Source organism: Homo sapiens, chromosome 20 (assembly GCF_000001405.40).
Source record: "Homo sapiens chromosome 20, GRCh38.p14 Primary Assembly".
Taxonomy (NCBI): domain Eukaryota; kingdom Metazoa; phylum Chordata; class Mammalia; order Primates; family Hominidae; genus Homo; species Homo sapiens.
The window spans coordinates 7,168,963-7,193,478 of NC_000020.11; the positions used below are offsets into that span (position 1 = coordinate 7,168,963).

General features: G+C 38.2%; 1 long non-coding RNA gene across 1 annotated transcript in view, besides 1 other annotated feature; it reads right to left on the bottom strand.

The window, feature by feature from the left end:
• The window catches only part of LINC01428 (long intergenic non-protein coding RNA 1428), a 107,736-nt gene that overhangs the window by 22,496 nt on the left and 60,724 nt on the right, over positions 1-24,516 (bottom strand). The window contains exons 4-5 of the long non-coding RNA NR_110609.1: positions 19,523-19,605; positions 14,381-14,431 (exon numbers count right to left, since the gene is read on the bottom strand). This is a non-coding gene — a long non-coding RNA (long intergenic non-protein coding RNA 1428). The remainder of the gene's footprint in view (positions 1-14,380; positions 14,432-19,522; positions 19,606-24,516) is intronic.
• Positions 13,784-14,004: a silencer, noted in NCBI's record as "fragment chr20:7163393-7163613 (GRCh37/hg19 assembly coordinates)". NCBI's record gives its function as "represses an EF-1alpha promoter that drives an FKBP-Casp9 reporter gene in an ReSE screen in HepG2 liver carcinoma cells {active_cell/tissue: HepG2}" and the evidence as "EXISTENCE:reporter gene assay evidence [ECO:0000049][PMID:32094911]".

Below are 24,516 nucleotides of genomic sequence, written 5' to 3' on the forward strand. Positions count from 1 at the left end.
TCCTTAAAATTCAGAGTCTTTGTTTCATGGTAAAAATTTCAGCCTTTATTCTATGCCAAGATGTTGCTTTTCATAAGCTGGATAGTTGATTATTACTATGGTTGTGCAGCTGGTAAAATCTGGGAGTATCCAGTTGGTTTCTGAATGGTGTTATCTTATGTATCTATTGATCTACCAATCATCTACTTCTAATGGATCATTTTATTCAGGTAAACTCAAACCTAGCTGATTAAATGTATTCATTATAATTTACATAGTGTTAATGCTTCATAAAATCTGAAACTTATTATGAATATAATTTGAATGTTTTCTTACCTTTCTCACATGCTCCAGAGGTTCTACTTCCGTGACCTGATTCGAGCTAACCAGCAGAATAGAAAGATATCCAATGCCTAGCTTTGGGGATTTACCCAATATCTTGCAAATATGTGTGGACAATATATATAAACAGTGTGACATTTGAGTCAGACAGTTAGGGGTCCAAACAGTAATTCTTCAACTTACTAGTATATGGTTTGAAAACATTACTAAAGCTCTCTGTGCCTGTTTACTCATCAATAAAATGGGATTAATAACATATTTTGCAGGACTGATTTGAAAATAAAGATGAGTAATAAATAATAGTGATTGCATCTCTTTCCTCAGTTCTTGTAGGTTTTATAAGAAATTATTTTTCTTGAAATTTCTTTCTTTTTCTATTAAGAAGGACAAATGGGAAAGAGGTTCCCATGGAGTATAGTTGACATAAGGCCATGTGAGTGTTGTTAGTTCTGTCTTAAGGCTCTTCCAGCTGAGATTCTAAGACCTGGCAGAGCAAAGCTCAAATAAACACAGCTGCTTCTGTGTCCCTCCTTAGGTGGTGTGGCTGCGTGTGTCAGCCTCCCTTTATAATGAACAGAACACTTTTCAGGTACATGGCAAAGGTTTTAAGATAAAAGTAGAAAATCACCAGAGTTCTTATATATTCCATAGAACATTTATAGGCTGGAAGGTTCAGACTCATGGGCAAATGGCTCCAAGCACAAGATTGAGAAGATACTTCCATCCCAAACAGAGGCAATGTAATTATGAGGAAGCATCTTTAAGAAATGCTGTTGTGGTTCTCCCCTTATTAAACTTCACGTCTATGTTCCATCAGTAGACAGGAAAGAATATGATGATTTGCAAACCTACAGAGTGCCAAAATCTAGCAGTGATCCTTATGGAGGAATAGAATTTTCACTTATTATGTGTATTCTTTGATAGTTATTTTAAGGCACTTTATTTCCATTTATAACACTCCTGCAGTGCATAGACCATTATCCTTAATGGGGACATTGAGTACCATAATTCACTGGGTAGCTAAGAGATTTGAACTGATTGCAGAGCCCAGCATCTTTTCATTGAATTATGCTATATTAGTGCAACAGGTGAATGCTTAAGGATCTCTACAATTAAACCGGTGTGGGTATGAACAGAACATAAACAAATCACACTGACTTTTGTCTTAGGTCAGAGTCCCTAGGAACAGAGCTTGAGACTGGAATTAGGTGCGCATGATTTACTGAGGGAGTGCTCTCTGGTGAATGCTATAAAGCTGTAAGAAAAGCAGAAGGCAGGAAAGACATTAAGCAAAAATGGATGGGTCCAGGTTCTCCTCCTGATCCCACGGGTAGTCTTGAAGCTTGAATAGCACTACAGAGATGGTATCAATTTGAAGCAAGAGGCTCAAGTTTTGTACCCTTTGCATGAATTGTTAGCTGTGGGCTAGCCCCCGGGATGGGGGTGGAGGCTGGCCTCCTAGTCAAGGTAGCTTCTGTTTGGTTGAGAACATTTCTGTCAAAAGAGTTGCTGTGAATTGGCATCTGTGGCCTGTGTGTGCCAACAGTGACCTCTGCACATTGTATGTGCTGTACATCTGTATCCAAATCAGAAAATTAGCTGCTGTTTAACACATTCTTTACAACATAAAGCTACTAACAAAGCTGTGGTTTCAAGCTGAGTCTCCATGTCACAAGGATAAATCTTAAGATTTACCTGAGGTCCACCCCGGTGAAAAACAGGACAGTGAATGGTCAGTAACAGAGCACCTACTATGTCACTCTCCAGAGTTTAAGTGACTTAAATCTCACAACCACCTACCAATGCCCATAATTTGGCCACTTTTTGTGTGTGAGTAGTGTTTGAAAAACAACAACAACAAACAAAACCTCATTTTGGTGGCAACACCTGACCTGTACATATTTAAGTCCATGTATAAATTTTATTTTCTTGAAATTATGGGAATATTTAAATGTTTGAAGAAATAATTACTAATCGAGTTGATTAGTGCATACTGCCCAAGGTCCTACTAGCTGTGTTATGTGATCTACACAAAATGTACTTTTTGACATTATAATATCTAGAATTATTATATACGATTATTATATAATTATTATAAAGGGTTATATACTACAACCCTGGCCATAGGGTCTACATGGAAAAAAAATGTATCCCTGACCCATGATATCACCATATGGGTAAGGGAATGGAGGCTCAGAAGCTTTGGATGTCAGACAGGATCTCTTAGAATTCATCTCTTAGAATTCATTCAATGAATACTAATTCATTGGTATGACTAACTTAATACAGGAATTTGTTTTATAACATCCAACCAGACTACTGAGCATTTTGTACACATCCAAATATGTAAGGCAGGTCATTTTATAATTTAGGGGACTCCAGCGTTTAGAAAATCCTACATAAAATCACAATCTATCTCCTTGTAAACTCTACTGATGGACCCTTGTCCTGGCACTCAGAAAATTGTAGACTATAAGCGTTTTTTTCTCCCATAGTTTACCCTGCAAATATGTGCATAAGTTGCAGGTTTCAAATCGTTAGGATTTTTCTTCTTTACACTCAGTGTCTCCATAACTTTTACCATTCTAATTAAACTTTTCTGGGATATTCCTTTTACAAAGGGCTCTTCCTGGGCCTGAGGTATTCAGGGATTTTAGCATGAAGTGCAGAGAGGGAAGAAGGAAGGGAGTGGGCAGAGGACTGGGGAAAGGACACATTCTTAGAGCCCTGTCTCTGTTGAAAACCAGCCCTTCCCCTCCCTGGAATCCAAGAGTAAATTCAGCCACAGCTTGGGTGGGGTGAATATCAGATTTGGCCCTACTGGTAGGTCACAGAAGTGGGAGAAATCTACGTGTTGGTGGTTTTGTGGTTTCATGGAGTTCATCTATTTACAGTAGTAGAATTGCATGCTCATGACCTGAAAATACTGGGATCAAATCCAGCCTCCCAACAGAAGCTAAGAAGAACCTCAGATCCTCATCAGTATATTTTAGCACAGTTTTTTGTAGTGACTCCAGGTTGGATTTTGGTCTTTTAAAGTATGTACAAGAATGTAAGCTCCTTGAGTCCAGAAATTTTGTTTATTTACTGCAGTGCTACTAGAACCTTCAGGGGTGCCTGGTACATAGTGAGCATTATGCAAGTTTTCAACATACATATGAGTGAATAATTGAAAGGTTGGATAATTTAAATTATTTCAGGCATCATTTTAAAGTATACTCATTTGGAATTTGTCTCATGTTTTCAACACTTCCAGTGCCCATAATTCTGCCATCTTCCAGTTTCCCCTAATAACGATGCTGTTCATGGGTCAGAAACTGTATAATACCCAGGAATATATTCTTTTTTCTGAAATGAGAAATCTGAACTAATGCAAACAGCCTTTCTAATTTTTCAGAGGACAGTGTTGTTGTTATTGTTAATACTCAGAGTCATCAAAACCTACCCAGATAAATTTTAAGACAAAGCAATTGATGCAAAGAAAACCAGGGAGGATTACTTGTCAGTGACATGGTAACCTAGGACTTGTCTACATTTAATAACCCAGAAAGCCACAAAACACAGGGCTGCAAGAAAAATAAACTTACAAATTGATTTATTATATCTCTGAAAAAATAAATTTTCTAAAACAAATCTTGTTCACTAGAAATTTACCCAAAGACATATAGAAGATACAGATGATCTTTTTCAGCTTCTCTACCTCCTCTTTTTCTGATAATATTTTATCTTTAATGTTCTTTGAATTTTTTCTTTGAACTATTTATAAAGGTTTGATAAGTGTTTCCAATTAGGTCATTTTACAAAATAGATGCTTAAGATAAGTTTTATTAAAATATTTCTAATAATGAAGAAAAATTAAGTTATTAGTAAGGTGACCCACCAGAACATAATTGAAACCCTTTATGTAAGAGGTGAAAGCTACTGTTCATTAATCCCTATATTTTAATATATTAAAAAACTTGTATGAGACTTCTAGCTCAAAAACCAGTTGCTTTATAACCTGCTGAGTAGATTATAGATTATTTCATCTCTTAAAATATTTTTTCTCTCTTGCTATGATATATATGCATATTATATGATTATGTACTAACCTATTGTGTTAATATTTGCTGTTTGTGTGCCAAAAAATCATTATCTGCTCCCAAAACTTTGTGTGCTTACATAAGAGAGTGCATTAGAAGGACTGTAAACTGAGAAGTTGGAGAGAAAGACTTTATAATTCCAGATTAAATTTCAAATAACTCTGCTAATCAGATATCTGCTACCTATCTGTAATAACACTGGAGAGAATATTCCCATTTCCTTTAATTGTGACTATATGTTTTTGATACGGAAACTTGGGCTGTAATGTAAAAGGAGTCTGAGCTTAGACTAACATTTTTAGCTTATAGATGACAATAAATGTCTCCTTTCCCTTCACTCTTTCAGAATGAATTAATAGTAATAATAATTTAAAACAAACTTTATACTTCATGAAAAAAACATGTTCATGTAGAAAAATCGGGAAATGCAAAAAAGAAGAAAATTACCTTAATCACCAATTACCTAAAACCAGGTATATCTACTGTTAATATATGGATCCCTAGTCTTTTCACTCTCTTTAAAAAATATGTCAAATCTGTTTGAAAAAGAAAATATATGCATAAATATAAAATCATACAAAACATTATAAAATGAAATGTTAAAATGCTCTTTCCTTCTGTCTTCAGCTCACCTCAATACTTCCTGTTCTGAGTTTTCTCTAGGATTGCCTTTACACATATGAAATCATATATACTTCTTGTTTGTCTTTTTTAAACTGCGTATTTTAATTTCTTACTGAAAAATATGAGGAAGGTGTTCATTTGTTTTCACGCCCACTTTCCCTTTGCAGCTTTTAATTTTTGCATCCACCTTCAGTTCTAGTGGGATTGAGAAATTACATTAAATTATCAAAGTCTTTAAACCTAGAATTCATAAATTATTATATATCTTTAAATTTTATTTTGAGATTTTATTTTGTAATTATTGAGGATGATAGTTGAGCTCTCAAGGAAGCTAGACTTTAATTTCTGCTATTTTGACCATAGTTAGTAGGGGGTCTTGGAAAGTCACATATATTCTCTGGCTCTTAGGTTGTTTACTTTTGAAATGTTAGGTGTGAATTAAAGGTCCCTTGTGGCTCTAAAATTTTACTATTTGTGAGATGTTATGAAAAGAACAGCTTTTATTCAGCTTGTTCAGTTGAAAGACAGTCATGGAGACTGAAGGGTTACCTGTAACACCGAAAGTTTCTAACTCATTTTCTCTTTTGACTTTAACTTCAGTTGGCTATACACACACACACATACGCACACACACACACATCTCCCAGTGTGGAGGCACACACTTTTACACTCTTAAGAAGTATATTATAAATAATTATGATTCAGTGGTGTACTGGAGACAGTTTGCACTGGCTTGTGAAGAGCCAACTGTTGAATCATTTTCAACTCTCCACTGGGTGTCATCACATTGATAGGTTGAAATTGGCCATGGTAGAATTATTTATACCATGAAAATGAGCAAACCTTCCAAATTAGTTTTTCTTCTCTTTTTAATCCATAGATCAAGTATGCGGAAAAGAATTAACATAGCAGGACTACTATCTTTAGAATGACCTGCTTACAGAGTTGGTCCTTGATTACTGTCTGGATTGCTGGATTTAGGGAGGGTTCTCACCATTCCCTAACTTTTAAGTCCTCATTGTGCCTATGCTGTGCAAACTGGGGATTATGGGGAACATCTACTTTCCTTAAAAGACATTGATTAAGGCTGGGCAGAGGAACCTTGATACATGCTAGGCAGAGGGTGGCTATTGATCATTTCCCAATAAAAACCTTAGGAAGTGAGTCTCTAATGAGCTTCATGCCTATGCAATATTTCATATGTGTTGTCAGAATTCCCTGTTGGAAGAATTAGGTGTGTCCTGCATGACTGTACTGGGAGAGGATTTTGGAAGTTTGCTCCTGGTTTCCTCCAGACTTTATCCCATGCACCTTTTCCCTTTGCTGATTTTTCTTTGTATAATTTTGCTGTAATAAATCATAGCACTGAACACAATTGTATTCTGAGTCCTGTAAGTCCTCCAAGCAAATTACCAAACCTGGAGGTGGTCTTGGGGAATCCAAACACAGCAAATTTGTCAGCACACCACTGATCAAATTGTGAAACTCTATTCAGCCATTAATATAAATTATCTATATGTTGTGTCCTGGAAATAGACTCATGGTATACTGTTCAGGAGAAACAAACAAATACCTAATTCACAAAAGTAATGTGTTTGTGTGTGTGTGTGTGTGTAGGCATGCATACACATGTGTGTGTTTGAAGACATAGGAAATTATCTGTATGATTAGCTATCAAATTCTTAATATGGTTTCTTTTGGATGCTGATATTGGATAGACAGAACACAATACTTCCTCCACATACTTTATATAATGAAAACAAAAAAATTAAATGGTGGAATTTATAAATAATTTGTAATTTATTTTCTGATAACATTGAAATAAAAATACAGAGTAGAAAACATTATACTTCTAAATGGCACTGTATTAATCTGTTCTCATGCTGCTGATAAAGACATACCCAAGACTGGGTAATTTGTAAACAAAAAGAGGTTTAATAGACTCACAGTTCCACATGGCTGGGGAGGCCTCACAATCATTGTGGAAGGTGAAAGCCAAGTCATACATGGGGGCAGACAAGAGAAAAAATGAGAACCAAGCAAAAGGGGAAACCCGTTATGAAACCATCAGATCCCATGAGACTTATTCAGTATTATGAGAACAGTATGGGGGAAACCACAAACATGATTCAATTACCTCCCAGTGGGTCCCTCCCACAACATGTGGGAATTGTGGGAGCTACTATTCAAGATGAGATTTGGGTGGGGACACAGCCAAACCATATCATTCTGCCCCTGGCCCCTCCCAAATCTGATGTCCTCACATTTCAAAACCAATCATACCTTCCCAATAGTCCCTGAAAGTCTTAACTCATTTCAGCATTAACTCAAAAGTCTACAGTCCAAAGTCTCATCTAAGACAAGGCAAATATCCTACCTTAAATATACTTCCTATATACAGTAAAAGTACAGGAATTGGGTAAATACAGCTGTTCCAAATGGGAGAAATTCACCAAAACAAAGGGGCTACTGGCCTCATGCAAGTCCGAAATCCAGTGGGGTAGTCAAATCTTAAAGCTCCAAAATGATCTCCTTTGACTCCATGTCTCACATCTGGGTCAGCTTCTGCAAGAGGTAGGTTCCCATGGTGTTGGACAGCTCCACTTCAGTGGCTTTGCAGGGTACATCCTCCCTCCCAGCTACTTTCATGGGCCAGCATTGAGCATCTGAGTGTTTTCTAGGTGCATGATGCAAGCTGTCAGTGGATCTACCTTTCGGGGGTCTAGAGAACCATGGCCCTCTTCTCACAGCTCCACCAGCAGTGCCCCAGTGGGGACTCTGTGGGGGCTTCAACCGCACATTTCCCTTTTACACTGCCCTAGCAGAGGTTCTCTTGACTTCTGTGCACCCACAGGCTCAACATCACATGGAAGCTGCCAAGGCTTGGAGTTTGCAGCCTCTGAAGGCACAGCCTGAGCTACCTTGGCCACTTTTAGCCATGGCTAGAGTGTCTGGGATGCAGGGCACCAAGTCCCTAGGCTGCACACAGCAGGGGATCACTGGGCCTGGCCCACAGAACCATTTTTTCCTTCTAGGCCTCTGGGCCTATGATGGGAGGGGCTACCTCAAAGGTATCTGACATGCCGTGGAGACATTTTCCCCATTGTCTTGGTGATTAACATTTGGCTCCTTGTTACTTACGCAAATTTCTTCAGGGGCTTGAATTTCTCCTCAGAAAATGGGTTTTTCTTTTCTATTGCATCATCAGGCTGCACATTTTTCAAACTTTCATACCGTTTCCCTTTTAAAACTGAATGCTTTTCACAGCACCCAAATCACCTCTTGAATGCTTTGCTGCTTAGAAATTTCTTCTGCCAGATACCCTAAATCATCTCTTTCAAGTTCAAAGTTCCAGAAATCTTTAGGGCAGGGGCAAAATGCCACCAGTCTTTTTGCTAAAATACAGCAAGTGTCACTTTTACTCCAGTTTCCAACAAATTCCTCAACTCCATCTGAGACAAACTCAGCCTGGATATCATTGTCCATCATTATCAGCATTTTGGTCAAAGCCATTCACCAAGTCTCTAGGAAGTTCCAAACTTTCATACATTTTTCTGTCTTCTTCTGAGCCCTCCAAACTGTTCCAACTTCTGCCTGTTACCCAGTTCCAAAGTCGCTTCCACATTTTCCAGTATCTTTACAGCATCACACCACTCTACCAGTACCAATTTCTTGTATTAGTCTGTTCTCACAGTGCTGATAAAGACACACCTGAGACTGTGTAATTTGTGAACAAAAAGGGGTTTGATGAACTCACAGTTCCACATGGCTGGGGAGGCTTCACAATCATTGTGGAAGGTGAAAGGCATGTTTTACATGGCAGACAAGAGAGAAAATAGCCATGTGAAAAGGGAAGCCCCTTATAAAACCATCAGATTTTGTGAGACTTATTCACTATCACAAGAACAGTATGGGGGAAACTGCCCCCATGGTTCAATTACCTACTACCAGGTCCCTCCTACAACATGTAGGAATTATGGGAGCCATAATTCACGATGAGATTTTGGTGGGGACACAGCCAAACCATATCAGGCACCATCAGTAATGTCTTTTTTAGACTTTTGAATCATGGGAAACTGCAAATTTGAGTTGGACATAATAAAATATAATATGTTAAGGATACTTCATTAGCCATTAATAATTAACTACTAATGTTTATGAACTTCCTGGGTGTGTGACCTTTGCTTGGTTCTACAACATGTCATGTTTCCTGTTCCAAATGTCAAGGAAATCTCCATGCTCTGTGTTTAATTTTCATGCGTAGGCAGACAAATTTGTCCTCTCAAATATGGTCTTGGTCCAAATTTGTCAAGTCCACTTCACTTGGTTTCTGGTTGTTCATCAATATTTTTGTGGTTCAGCAATAATTTTTGTGAATAATGACGCATACTCACAAGTTTGGTATCATGACAGGTATCTGAATAATTGATAAGATCATATTAAAATTAAATACTAGAAATATGATATATACAGAATTGAAGCTTTTAGATCAAACCTAACAACATGGTAAAATAATGACCTAGAGTTTTTCCAGATTTTCCTCAATTCTCTAATAAATAATTCAAGAGGTGTTATTTTCTCCATTTACTTCAAATACCCATTGGTAAAATTGCTCCCACATTCTACCTCTTGGCCCCCACCCACAACCTCTCAAGAAGCTATTACATTATAAGTAAATATTAGGTGGTTAAAATTGTATTCATGCATATTTGCACAGTAGGCAGTTAAATCAGCTCCATTACTGTGTTCTATGAAACTACATAATTACAGACCCTTCAAAGTGCATATTATTAACTTGGTGCATGACTACCTCCAAGCAAACATGCTGTAGATGAGTTGAGTCAATATTCACATGGTATTTTTCAGCTTTCAGTCTTGGGAAGAAGTAAAATACAGAGGCTTCTGGGTATGTGGTAAGGAAGAGTTGAACATGAACTAAATTTTCCACATAATCATCTAAGATTTCAAATATCCACTTATCGATACTCTGTTTTATACCAATATATGTATCCAAAATATCCAATGATTTCCTGAATGTCATTGTGCATATGATATTTGATTTAATATATATGTATATGTGTATATTTATATATACACACATATATAAATGTACATATATACGTATATAAATATATGTACCCATACACATATGTATAAAATCAAATATCATATGCACAAAGACATTCAGAACATCACTGGATTTTATATATAGTAGCCAGGATTGGGATAAGCCAATTGACAAATGAGAATATAAGTTTATTTAGTTAAAATAGAAATATACGTTTCCAGTGCATCCAAATCTAAACCCACAATATCCACCTTGCTACTAAATGTGTTCCCCTAGGTTTCTAGAAAACCGGATTAGTCTGCATAGGATTTCTTGGGCATTCTAGAATAAGAGCAAAAAGATATGAATAGAGTTGGAGACTTTAGTGCAAACCTAGGTAAACCTTGGGAAACATCTTTGCCCCTCATTAGAGCACACATTTCTAATTTGCAGATTCTTCCCATACCCACAATTATGACTGCTCAGGTAACAGTAGGGACACACTCTTCCCTTCTTCTTTCTTATTTCCAGGTTGATCACCTTTGTTCAGATTGATGCATATTTGCTTCAGAAGCCTTGTAAGTTAGATTGTTTCTCCTATGGTCCCACCCTCTCCAGTTAAAAAATGGCTCTCTTCCCAAGAGATAGAGATAGACTGGTCATCTTCCCCACTTACCAATACCACATCCAGACCAGGACTATACCACAGACCACCCAGCTTGATCATTGCTGCACCCTTCTTATTCCTATTGTCCCTTTCCCTCTTTCACTGAAGAATGAGTACATTGTCTTCTTCACCCCAAGTTTTACCATCAATGTTGGCAACATCAATATCCACATGTATAGTTCATAAAACCACCTGGCCTCTGTCTATGACCTCATTTTCAGAAACTCACCTCCACCCCTCCTGAGCCACACACTCTCATGCTTGAGCCCACCATCAACAGAGCCTGCTCCATTTATGAACTATTGAATTAAAATGTCCCACTCTAATGACCATATTCTCCCATTCTATCTTCAACCTCCTGCCTCACTGATTCATTCATGTCCATGACACCACCCATGTAATAAAACCATAAGGCTAGATCAGCTTGGACAGCTTTTTTTTTTTTTTTTTTTTTTGACAGGATCTTGCTTTGTCACCAATTGTTGGGATGCAGTGGTGCAATCTTGGCTCTCTTGCAGGCTGAAACTCTTGGGCTCAAGCAATCATCCCACCTTAGCATCCTGAATAGCTGGGACTACAAGTGTAGGCCATCATGCCAGCTAATTAAAAAAAAAAGAAAAAATGTTGGAGAGAAAATGTCTCACTATTTGGCCCAGGCTGGTCTCAAATTCTTGGGCTCAAGGGATCCTCCTTCAACCTCCGAAAATGCAGGGATTACAGGCATGAGTCACCATGTTTGGCCATGTGTTTTCTTTATGTTCACAGTCCTGGACATAAAGGAATGACTAACTGACAGCACAGCCTGACTGCAGCTGATTGTTTCTGATAATCATGCTACCCATGCTCAAACACACAAAAACATGGCACGTGCAACTCTAAATGATTGTCCTTGAAACTCATTTGAGCCTTCAGCCCTTGTTTGACTCATATGCAGCTCTCTCTTTCCTTCTCTACTGGAGCCATTTCAATTTTTTTTATTTCTTCTCTCTGAACTTGACATTCATTCGTCTTACTTCAAAGACGAAATAAGTCCCATCAGGTGGGAACAACCCCCACTTCCAGTTGTCATTCTACATCCATACTTTGTAGACTGTTTCCTCTCTGCCTTGTTTGTTTGCTTTCCCTTGCTTCTGAATACTGTCCAACAGTATTGCATCATGTTGAAATCACTCCTCAATTAGTAATTAAGAAGGAAACAACCTACTCCAAGCACTGATAACCCCATTAAAATATTTCTATTTCCCTCTTCACTGAAGCCAAATTTTTCCTTCTCCTTTTCCTTTTCATTGAGGTGAAATTCAAATAGCATAAAATCAACCATTTTGAAGTGAACAAGTCAGTGGCTATTAGTACATAGACAATGTTGGACAACCATCATCTCTGTCTGTCTCCTAAATATTTTCATCATCTGAAAAGAAAACCACGTATCCAATAAACCGTTATTCCCTATTCTTTTCCCCAAGCCTCTAGCAACCACCGATCTGTTTTCTGTCTGTGTGCATTTACCTATTTGGATATCTCATATTACATCAAATCATACAATGCATGACCTTTTGTGTTTGGTTTCTTTTAGTTAACATAAGGTTTTCATAGTATATCCATATGGTAGTACATATCAATATTTTTTGTGACTGAATAATTTTCCATTGTGTGTGTGTGTGTATATATGTATATGTATATATATATATACACATGCATATACATATATACATTGTGACACATGGGAGCGTGAAGTAATTGAATCATGGGTATTTTCTGTGCTATTATTGTGATAGTAAATAAGTTTCATGAGATCTGATGGTTTTATAAAGAGGAGTTGCCCCTGCACAAGCTCTCTTGCCTGCCACCATGTAAGATGTGACTTTGCTCCTCCTTCACCTTCTGCCATGATTGTGATGCCTCCCCAGCCATGTGAAAGTGAGTCCATGAAGCCTGTTTTTCTTTATAAATTGCCCAGTCTTGGGTATGTCTTTATTACCAGCATGAGAACAGACTAATATAACATCCTAGAGAGTGTGACGTGATACCCTACTATAGTTTGGTAACTTAGGGGATCAGATTCTCTCCCTCCCCAGAGTTCACTGTTGTTGATATTTTATGGCTATAGATATCCATTTATTCAGTTACTTTTGCAAACTATTTTCACAAAGAAAGACTGTATTTCTTGTCATTTGTGGTCACTAAAGTTTCTGCTTTGTTATCTCAGTAGTCAGCCAGTGACCTAACAGAAATCAGAAATGTTCTTAAACTTTTCTTTCTTTCCCTTTCTTTCTTTCTTTCTTTCTTTCTTTCTTTCTTTCTTTCTTTCTTTCTTTCTTTCTTTCTTTCTTTCTTTTTCTTTCTTTCTTTCTCTTCTTTTTTGTTTTTTTTGACAGGGTCTCACTCTGTTGCCCAGACTGGAGTGTAGTGGTGTGATCAAGGCTCACAGGCATGCACCAGCACACCCATCATATTTGTTTTGTTTTGTGTAGAAATGGGGTCTTGCTGTGTTGCGCAGGAAGGGCTCAAACTTCTGGGCTCAAGCAATCCTCGTGTGTTGGCCTCCGAAAGTGCTTGGATTACAGGTGTGAGCCACCATGCTTGGCCAAAATGATTTTCTTCAAGGCTGCCTATGACTCTGCCCTAGTCTTTACCTCCTACTTGCATGGTGCCTACAGATCAGCCAGAGGTGGAAGCCTAGAGTCCTCTCACATCTGTTCTGAGCATGTTTTGGGTACTGGGCATTTTGTGTTTCACTCTGTCTTCTCTAGCATATGTGATGGCTCTTGGAACCCTCATTTTCTCATTAACCTTCTTCTGCCTCCTCCTTCCCAGACCTGGAGTTTTTGTCTATTGCTTATCCCATCTGATATCCCTTTTCCAAGTGCACATGGGATATGTATGTGTTTAAATCTTTTCACAGCCACTTCCAAAGTCTGAGTAGCGACTCCATCCCAAGTTGGAGGGGTGGAATGGTGATGAAACAATTGTCAGTCTCTGTACCATTCTCTCAGGGAACCACAAGACAGACCAAAATCCACAACCACAGTATTTTAGGGACAAGGTTTGTATTAATACCCTGGCATAAATAAGCTAACAAGCAGCATAGGCCACTTTCTCTGCAGCTGCCACTGCTGCAGCCCCACAACACTAGAGAATGGGGAATGGTATTCAGGTGGGGGAAATGTCACAATGCTCTCTCACTGAATTTCAGCTGCCCTTTAATGGATTTGACTCAACTTTGATTTGACTCAACTTTGATTTGACTATCTCATGGACTTTCCAAGATTTTACTTTTGCAACACAGCTATTTTCTGGGTAGTTTTTCCAAAGAGTTGAATTTACAAGGATTCTATTAGGATTATTATATCTACAGATTTACTATCCCCATTTACTCTCTGTTCCTCTTTCTCATTCAATCCCCGTTGCTATGGTCTTAATGTTTGTGTCCCCTCCTAATTTATATATGGGAACCTAATCACCAATGCAGTGGCACTAGAAGATGGGGCCATGGAGAGCTAATTAGGTCTTGAGAGTGAAGTACTCTTGAATGGGATCAGTGCCCTTATAAAAGAGGCCCCAGAGAGCTAGCTAACCCCTTCCACCATGTGAGGACACAGCTAGAAGTTGGCAATTTGAAAGGGAAAGGAGAGCCCTCACCTGAATCCAAGCATGCTGGGACCCCAGTCATGGACTTCTAAGCTTCCAGAACTGTAAGAAACAAATTTATGTTGTTTATAATCTTACTAGGTTATGCTATTTTGCTACAGCAGCCCAAACAGATAAAGACACTTATCATTGTCTCCATTAATTACTTCCATCCATGAGGATGCTAGATCAAAGCCAATCACACCATGTATTTTGAAAAGTTGTTGCCTGTATATATTGGCATTTATATTCATTTCTTTTTGGCTTCTAATGCTAAGATTTCTTTTTTTTTCTTCCTTGCTTCTTTATTTTTCTTTTTGCCTTGAGAGTATGTTGGGAATAGTACAGTGAGTGAGTTCTGTCATACTTAACTTTTGAAAAAAGAACAAGAGGCTCAGTGGTCTAACTGTATATCATCTCATTACTTAAACCTTCAACTTCTCAACAGAAAGAAAGATAAATATTGCAAAAGAGATTTATCATTGTTTGAGTAAAGGCTTGAGTAAAGACTCATGATTATAGAACAAGAATTACCATAAAGGAAACTACCCACTAAAAACCAGATTGCTTGAACCTTGCACTATTACTTTTTTCAAAAAGCAAGTATCTTTATTTATGGATCTCAAAGATGTGCTCTTCTCTCCCTGGAGTCCATTCTTGACCATACTGATGACTAGAATGCTGTCTAGACATCAGACTCTCACCCATCATTCTGGTCATTTTGTTGACCCGTTCTCTGCCATCATAGTAGTCTCTCCCTGCTCTGCTCTTTTTCTCATCACTCTAATATGTAACATAGGCACTAGGGAACCCTGATTTCAGATTCGTTCACTGCTGGAACACTGGGAAAGCCTCATTTCCATGGTAAGCATCTTGGATTGCTCCAAGACAGGATTTATTTTTAACGTTCCACATTGCACATTGTTGGCTCTCCAATATCTTCTGGCAATAAGATGCCAACAAGACAAAACACATGAAAAAGAAGAAAAACACCCAAACATTTTCTTTCCCCCTTTCCATGTTCTCCCCAAGCCAAGTTTGGAATGGCTTAAAGAGTGTTTTTTCCTCTTCCTTTTTTCTTTGCCTAGAACTGGCTGCTGTGAGGCATCTTTTTGGATTCAGACATTTTCCTGTCGGCTTGCCCTGGGGTACCTACCATTGAAGTCTAATACATTTTACTTATTCAAGATTACACTGCCTAAGGGAGAAGCAGCTCTCTGGTTGAAGAACAACAGGCTCTACATTTTAAGGATTCTGTATTGAGTGTAATTAGACACATACCTTTGGATTTATGGCTCTGCTAAGTCTTTAACCCATTCTGATCATCTCCAAGGCCACAAAAATAAAAATGTCAAATGTATGTATAGTGGTTTGTCACTGTGTAAGGTGAATCACTAGAAGTAGAAGGCAAGTGTTTGGTCTTTGGAGATGGTCATGAGCAACAAACCAAAAGTTTCTGCTAAAAGTCTTGAGTTTTTCCTTGAAGAGAATTGCTCCCTGGAGAAAGAGTCTAAGTATACAATTCATCAAGATTACCATTGAGTCACTTCTCCTTTGTTTCCCCTTTTCTTTCATCATGGCAGACATCTGCAGTCATACGTATGCGAATATTTGCAATGCATCTTTCCCCACTTCAAACATCTCAGGTCATTATCACAAAAGAAGTTGTGTTTTGTGGATGAATTTTTCCCAAGAAATAGTGCATGGGCCATTGATTCACTCCACAGTTTTACTCCAGTCTCAAAGTATGTGTGGGCTTTAAAATGAAAGTATATAGAATACGGTTTACCTCCATCATTCTCAGCAAACTATTGCAAGGACAAAAAACCAAACACCGCATGTTCTCACTCATAGGTGGGAATTGAACAATGAGAACACATGGACACAGGAAGGGGAACATCACACATCGGGGACTGTTGTGGGATGGGGGGATGGGGGAGGGATAGCATTAGGAGATAAACCTAATGCTAAATTACGAGTTAATGGGTGCAGCACACCAACATGGCACATGTATCCATATGTAACAAACCTGCACGTTGTGCACATGTACCCTAAAACTTAAAGTATAATAATTATAATATTAAAAAAAAAGAAACATTTCAAAAGAGCTTCACCTGTGAGTTACACAAAGACGATGTTGACACATCGTCTTTGTGGAGTCCACCAGTATAGAAAGCTTTTTAACTTTCTTTGACCTATCTACTACTGAATGTTTTCTTAAAAATATCATGCTACTGTAATTGTGGTCAGGAGATGAGTGCTAGCATACAAACTATTTGTAACACACCCATGAACAAAGAAGATTAAAAGTACATTCTCGAATTTTAAATTGATTACAGAGCAGTAACCACTATTGGTACTGAATCCTGGACCGCATGATGAGTAGCACTGTCTCACAGGCCCTAGTACTAGCCCCAGGAACACATAACACATTGGCACAGATTTAGAAAACAAATATCTGATGTCTATAAATGTGTGTATGTGTTTAAATAGCTTCTCAAATAAATTTAGAATCAAAAGGTTCTATAATCTGGGGACTTCTACTTTTGAGAAGATGGAGTAGACATATTTTTCCCTATTCTTCCCACTAAGTACAAATAAAAACCTTGGACATATATATACATAAAACTTAAGGTGACTCTGAAAGTTATAGAGAAGAAGGGAGGCTAGCTAGGGAGCTTGAGGTCCAAGGAAGCGCATGGTAGTGAGTCTTCTGTGTTTTCTTTGGCCTCATGAATCTCAGGCAGGGTGCTGGGTGCTGGAGAAGCCAGCAACCCAAAAACATTAACAGGCACAGACAAAGAAATCTCCAGGCTCACATGGTTTCACTAGGGAACTTCACCAAGCATTTAAAAAGAAATCAACACCAACTAACAATGAGCATGTTGGACACTGAAATTAAGAATCCAACGCCACTTGTAATTGCTTTAAAAGAGAATAATGTATGTGTAAGTCTGACAAAACATATACCAAACGTATATGCTGAAAACAATACAATGCTGATTAAATAAATCAAAGGAGACCTAAAAAAAGGAAAAAAAAAAAGAATACAGTTTACCTGTTTTCCTTCTCTGTAAAAAGGAAGAAGAAATAAAGTAAGTTCCACTTACTTTAAAAAATTAGCTAGTCGGGGATAAGTATGAAAAGATGGAGGTGCTTATGTAGAACTTAACTGAGACTTCGAGTTAGAAAGTGAGTTGTCAGAGACTGAGAAGTAAAATTTAGTTGAGACTATAATGCTGGGAGAACATCCTCTTTGTGTTTCCAACAGATTCCAGGAATCTAGAAACATAAAATCCCCTCTAATTTTTTTAAGCATCAAAGACAAAAGCAAACCAAACAAATCTGTGTATCACATAAACAAACACAACAGTAAAATTGTTGTACATTGTATGAGCATTGCTAAATAATTTCCTCTATTAAAAATGATGAAAAAGTCCTGCTCTGATTTATTTGAGATTACCATGTGGAGATGTTGGGGACAATTTTAGTGAGCCCCTTTAGAGCCAGTCTGATGTAAGAAGATCATGAGCCAACATTCACAGGCTACACAAAGGAAAGATTTATTAGGCAGCCAGAAATCCAGACATCTAGCAGGTTTGGCATTATTCTGCTCACCACAGTAGAAATTACCCAAGACTTCGTTAATGCTTGCTTGGTTGCAAATGTCTTACTGCTGCTTATACAGTGCTCCTTGGGCAGTGATTTTCATTTGGAAGAGCTATTGACAATACGTATTTTTTTTTTTCTAAAAAAGAATAAACGGCCAAACAATATGCTCATCACCAAGTAACAATGATTACAGCCAAAGCAAAATAAAGGGATTAAAAATCGTCTGATAGCCACTTATTTTTTTGGCTAAGAGAGTTCCTTCCATAGACATTTATAGGTAGAGTCTTTATACCTTTGCCATAACTGTCTTTTAATTATTTTATTCCAGAAAGCACCAATTACATTTGCTGTATCTTAGAAAATTATTCCTAGTCCCCAATGCTGAGTAGTTGTACTTTCTTGACTAAGAATTATTAGTAGAATGAAGACATAAGAGTGTACTCATCTCCATCTTCTTGCTCTTGAAGGCATTGAGTACACTTCAAAGATCCCAGCTCAAGTGCTAGGGATAATCCATAACCTTAGCAAGATCAAGCTCAGTTTCTATTTCTTAATCTCCATTTACAGTGTGGCACCAGTCTCTGTATTGCCAGGTTTACACTGAGAAAGCACTATTCATGTTTCAGTTAATCAAGAGAACATCTCTTGGATTTACCTGTCAAAGAACATTTCCTCTTTATTCTTGAAGACAGAACTCTAGTTTTCTTTTGTAAACGCTATCCCTGCTCTACTCTCATTAGATGTGGCTTGGGTATGGCTATTGCACCAAACCCTGCATCCCTTCAATGATGAATGAGGATAGGATCTATCGCAGACTGTTGGTGCTCTGCCCATATCTCTTCAAATACCCCTTCCATTTCCATGTGTAAAATTTTAGCCTCCATCAGCTAGCAAAAGCATGCTTGCTGGACATCTGCCTTCATGTTGACGAAACCTTCTTTTCTCATGCACAAGGCAGGTGGAAAGTGACTGGGGGATGGGGAATCCGTCTGGAGGTAGGCCTTACCTAATATCTGATGGGTATAGCAATGTAAGTACCCCGAATCTCTCACTTCTTGGCAAGGGTAATTATTAGGTATTGGTTTAGCCAGAGGCTATTACTGCAAAGTTAAACTATAATATTTCACTGGTATCTGATTTAACAGTACTGCTTAAATCGGCTGACTTCCCTGTCACCCACCTGTGTTCCTTGCAATTTCCAATAAACTGTTTTCACTGGAATCCTTAGCTCAAGGTCTACTTCTGGGGAAACCTGAACCAAAATAAAAACCAAAATCTGGCACATCAGATTATTCCATCTTCTGGCTTCAGTGACTAATTATGGAGACCTAGGCCTTTCCCTGGAATAATTAAATAAGAGGTACTTTCTTTCTGTTGGGATTCCTTAGTATATGAAATGTAAGCTGGTACTTTTCCTTATCTTTTCCACTACACAAGAAGAGCCTTCTGTGAGAACAAAGCAAACCCTCAAGAAAATCATTTCAAGGAATAGAGAAGGAGATTTTCTTGATGAATTCAGCCATACATGAAACTCTGATTTACCTCAAGCCTCTTCAATTATGTGAGTCCACTTCTTTTCTCACCATTTTGAAAGCCAGATTGAGTGAAGCTTCTGTTTCTTGAAGCTGAAAGAAGTAGGACTAAATTTAGATAAAAGCTAGAAGATTTGATCTTGGCCTCTTCTCAATGCAGTACTGGCCAGCAAGGTGGGGGCTTAGTACCACAGTTTCTCAATTTATGATGCATATGGTGGTTAGCTGTTGGCTCAAAATGGAAGTTGTGGACTATGGTGTCTGAATACTGAGGAATTTACTTTTTCTGTTTTTACCAAATAAGTTTAGAGAGGCCACACTTCAAATTTCACTGGAATAGAGGGGAAAATGTCTTATTTCATCACCTTTCTTCTCATGTGAAAATTTTTAGAGGAGATGGGCAAATGGTCTTTGAGGGCAAAGAATTATGGAATTATGTAGTGAAGAAATTTGTTCACATGAGGTAACGGATTGTCTTAAATTTTGCTGTGTAAATTGCAGGCTGCATTTTTTGTTTTAATTAAGCAATGCCAGAAATGGTTTCGTGGCATTTTCCTTCCAGGATTGGGAACCTACACACATCAGCTTTGCACATGAGAACCAGAAATTAAAACTGACCACAGCTAATGGGAACCTGCTCAGGCTCACTTTATAGGCTCACTGAGAGAAGTGCAAAGAGAAAACAGGCTAAGTGAAGAAGGAAAAACACAAGGCTTCCCTTTCAATAAGTTTTAATAATGTATAATCCCCCAGAGAGTAACATATGAACAGAATTATAAATTCTCTGTTGGTTACTTTTCTACCATTTAGGACTTGTTAAGTACCCAAAGGGAATTGTTGGCCCTTTATATTTTTAATTCAACTTCAGTGTCTTCAATTAGAGCATGCTGTCAGAATAAGTAGTCCTCTTCAAATACATGGTTGAGAATGACTAATGCTAAATCTTGAGGCATTCCTATCCCAGTGAAGATTTAAGGGCTGAATATTCCCGAGGGACTCTTTGTTGGCAAGGTGGCCTCTTCTGGAATGATCTGTCAAGTGTGCACAATCTGACTATCATGTGCATGAAGTAAGATGTGAACAAATGGACATCCAGGAGATAATTGTCACGGTTGTTAGCCTTTTTAAATGATCTCTGGAGATATCTTCTGCTTCCACCATCAAGTCTTTTGTTTGGGGTTTTACCTCATTTTCAGGCTTAGCTTTGAAGATATTGTAAGATAGTTGTTTGAAGGCATACAGCACTCCCTAGTTATATGTATTCCAGCACACTCAGGACGGGCACTAAATATGAAGAGAAAATTTTATTAACAACTATAGTGACCCAATAGCAAAAAAGGGCAAAAGAATGTATTCTTTTTAGTCTGATCTCTGGAGCCTGCTCTTGTCTTTGGAAATTAAGAATTTCACTCAGGGGACTGGTGGCCACCTGCAGTTGTGTGTGTTTATTTTTTTAAAGCCTTCCTGTTTACTCAAATGGCTCTCCTGCATTGGATTTCTCTCAATTGCATGTTGTGGGCCCTGTCCTAGGTTTTTTACTCCCCCTCTTTTTCTGTAACTGAACCTTCCTAAAGACGAGCTCCTTAGAAAAGGTGAGGTTCCCAAAGCCAAGGTAAGAAGTTAAGGAGTGGTTTGTAATTCAGTTGCAAATCTGTAGAACAGAAAGATGCTCTTTTCTGTTATCCACTGATATATAACAAACCACCCCCAAACTTGATGCATTAAAACAAGAAATTATTACTTATCAAGATTATGTAGATTATGGGGTGGTTCTTCTGTTGGTTTCACAGGAGATCACTCAAGTGGCTGTATTTATCTGGTGAGTTAGTTAAAATTGAAGGTTCTACCATGGCATCATCCTTCACAGTAATAAAAGAAAAATGCAGATGGCAAATACAGGCAGTCTCTGTTAGCTCTTTTCCTTGAAGTATTAGCAGATGTGAGCCTGGGAGAGATAACTCAAGTATATCTGTCTTACTCTGATTTTGGGAATAGAGGGATCTCCTGGCTGAGGCATCAGGTCAACTGAAGAATATTTACATTGTTGGAGGTGTTGTAAAATACAGCCTCATTCTAAACATTTAGCAATGGTGAGGCCCCACAAAGGAAAAAAATAGTTGGCTGGAACAAGATGGCTTGATTTTTTATGGTGGAGCAGAAAGAGGAGTAGGATAGTAAATGAAAGAGTTAACAATTGCCTTTCAAAATACCCCAAATCCCCTGATTTGTAGTATTTGTTGATTTCCATTCTACAAACACTTCTACTGTGGCTAATGTCAAGCTTCCATTCAAGTTAAGAAGGCACGTGCACAATTAACTCTTGAAATCCTATGCAAGCTTTCCCTAGCACACCAGTTGATCAAGAAGAATGAACAAATAAAAAAATTAAAACAATATCAAGACATGGAAAAGAGAAGTTCTCTGGGTTCTAAAACACAATGGTGAAATGTGAGTATAGGGATGGGAGATGGAACAGAATCATTGGTGAAATCCTCTGCTACCTACATAGGAATGCCTCAAGTGTTCTTAAAATGCATGCACAGACCAAAATGCACCAAAAAGAAAAAAAAATAAGAAAGAACAAAAGGACAATACAATAGAGAGGAAAGTAAAATTTAAAGTGTTCAGTTTGGGCTCAAAGTCATTACTAAAACATGAAGTAGACAAATCAGTCACTAGGTTTGATTGCCTATCTAGGAGATTTGACCTGAGATGAGTATGGGATATAAAATGAGCACCACATTGAAGGATGTCTGAGATTGAAAGAATGGAAAAAGCCTGATGAAGGACCCAGGAATGTGAACACAGCTCTGGCTCTCTTATTAGTCCAACTCTGTGGCCTTGAACATTTGGCCTATACTTTTTTTTTCTTTTCTCTATAAATCTTTGCTGAGTAAATGTATCCCAATGCAACAATAATCACTTCCAGAGAGAGAGGGAGGAAGAGAGAGAATTGTGTGAAGACAGCCATGTCCTAACTAACCATGTAATAGTACAAAATCTAGAGTGTACAACTTAAGGGAAGAGGTAGGTGGCTCTTGTTTATCTCAAAAGAATGGGGAAAGAGAATACACACCCAGCAGAAACATCTTTGTCATGGGAAGATATTGGTTCTAGCAGAGCACATGAAGTTCTTCGCTGCCAGATAGTGTGTGATATCACCAGGTAAACCAGAACAAGGCAGGAAGTGATGGCCTCAAATTGGTCCTGGGTCAGGGGACTGTGAGTTGGCCATGATGTCCTGAACAAGCAGAGCTGTTCCTCCTAAGGGAAATATCAGTAGAGGTGCTGAGTGAAGTTCACCCAACCCTTACCCAGCTTCCTACACTGAAGTTTCCTCATTATTCTTTGTAAAGTATTTTTATTAAGTACAGATTACTAATATATTTCTATTAAGTACATACACTTTTCTTCTGTGAAATGCTACCCTAAAACAGTTCATTAAGCAACAAAGAGGGATCCCGTCTTACATTCTAGAATTATGTCCTATGAAATTACCCCAAATTGATTCATTGACATAGTTGAATATTGGCAGAATCATATGGTTTGGCTGAATTTTATCAAAAATCAATTAGCTAAAAATCTATTAAAATATTTATATATATATCAGTCAGTCTGTTCAGTACATACATTCCATTTGTAGAATATGTTCTGAATTAGTCTTTGCCACCTGTGAATTACAGTAAACTTCCTTGTTGATCTCCCGTTATTTATTCCTCTGGACCCATGACTCACTGTCTTCTCTTTCATTTAAGACTTTGAGTCCAGGAGATTGACACCGGCCTGGCTACATGATGAGACCTCATCTCCACAACATTTTTTTTTTTTAGTTAGCCAGACATGGTGGCATGCACCTGTGGTCCCAGCTATTCTGAGGGTTGAGGTAAAATGATCGCTCAAATCTGGGAGGTTGAGGCTGCCGTCAGCTGTGTTTGCACTACTGTACTCCATCCTGAAAGACAGAGTGAGACCCTGTCTGAAAAAAAAAGAAAAAAAAGGACTTTGGCTTTGCCATGTTAGTAAAGGCAATGACAGAAATGCTGGCCCTGGCCTGGCAGGTCTGCCTTCAGTGACTCAAATGGCTGCCTAATGATATTAGCAAAATCCATTTATTCATGCAACAAATATATATGCCTCTATTTCTTCAGCATATGCTTTTATGGCTACCTTTGTAGTTCCTATGAACCACTGATTCCATGGTGTTTTGGTTTACTGCTTGACCCATTGGATAAAGAAACAGCTGTATGTGTATATAAAGCCAGTCAACTCTGAAGAATGCTCATTCTTCTGATCTTTCCAAAGACCTGTAAGAAGAGTGGAGTATGTCTATTTATCCACCTACTGCCTCTGACAAGGAAGGGAGGGAAGTCCTGGGAGATTTCAGTTTCAATTCTAGACTACTGGAATGTGTTTTAAAGGATATCATTTGGAAAGCAATTTAAAAAAGACTTAGTTATCCTTTGCCATGTGCTACCTCGCATCAAAATCAAATGGTTTGTTCGATCAGTGACCTGACGAGTACTGGATAGGGAGACGGTCACAACCAACTCAGTTAAGTTTTTAGTCTGAGGCCTTTCCTAATACAGATAATTAGCCCACACTTCTATTGAGAGATTTCTCCATTTCCAGTCTAGACAAGGAACAAGCCAAGTCTAAGCCTCATCCCTTCTCTTACCTTGAGGTATATTTTGACTGCCTATGGTTTTGATATTTGAGTTCTATCTGTATGTCCTGCTGATAATTGACTCTAGGAAAATAAGCACATTTACAGCTATCTTGGGAACTTAGCTGTTTATCTGTATCTGCATATGCCCACAACTGCATTCCACATGACCCTGACCCTGCCACTCTATATGTAGAGTAACATACAGAAAGTGATTACATTTAAGGTGCCTGGCTGCAAGGCCAGGATTGGGAGGAGTCTATTTTGAGTGGAAGACTTTACTTTGGCAAATTGTGCCAAACTATGATACTTTTCTGCCTAGGAAGACTTCTGGCTCACCC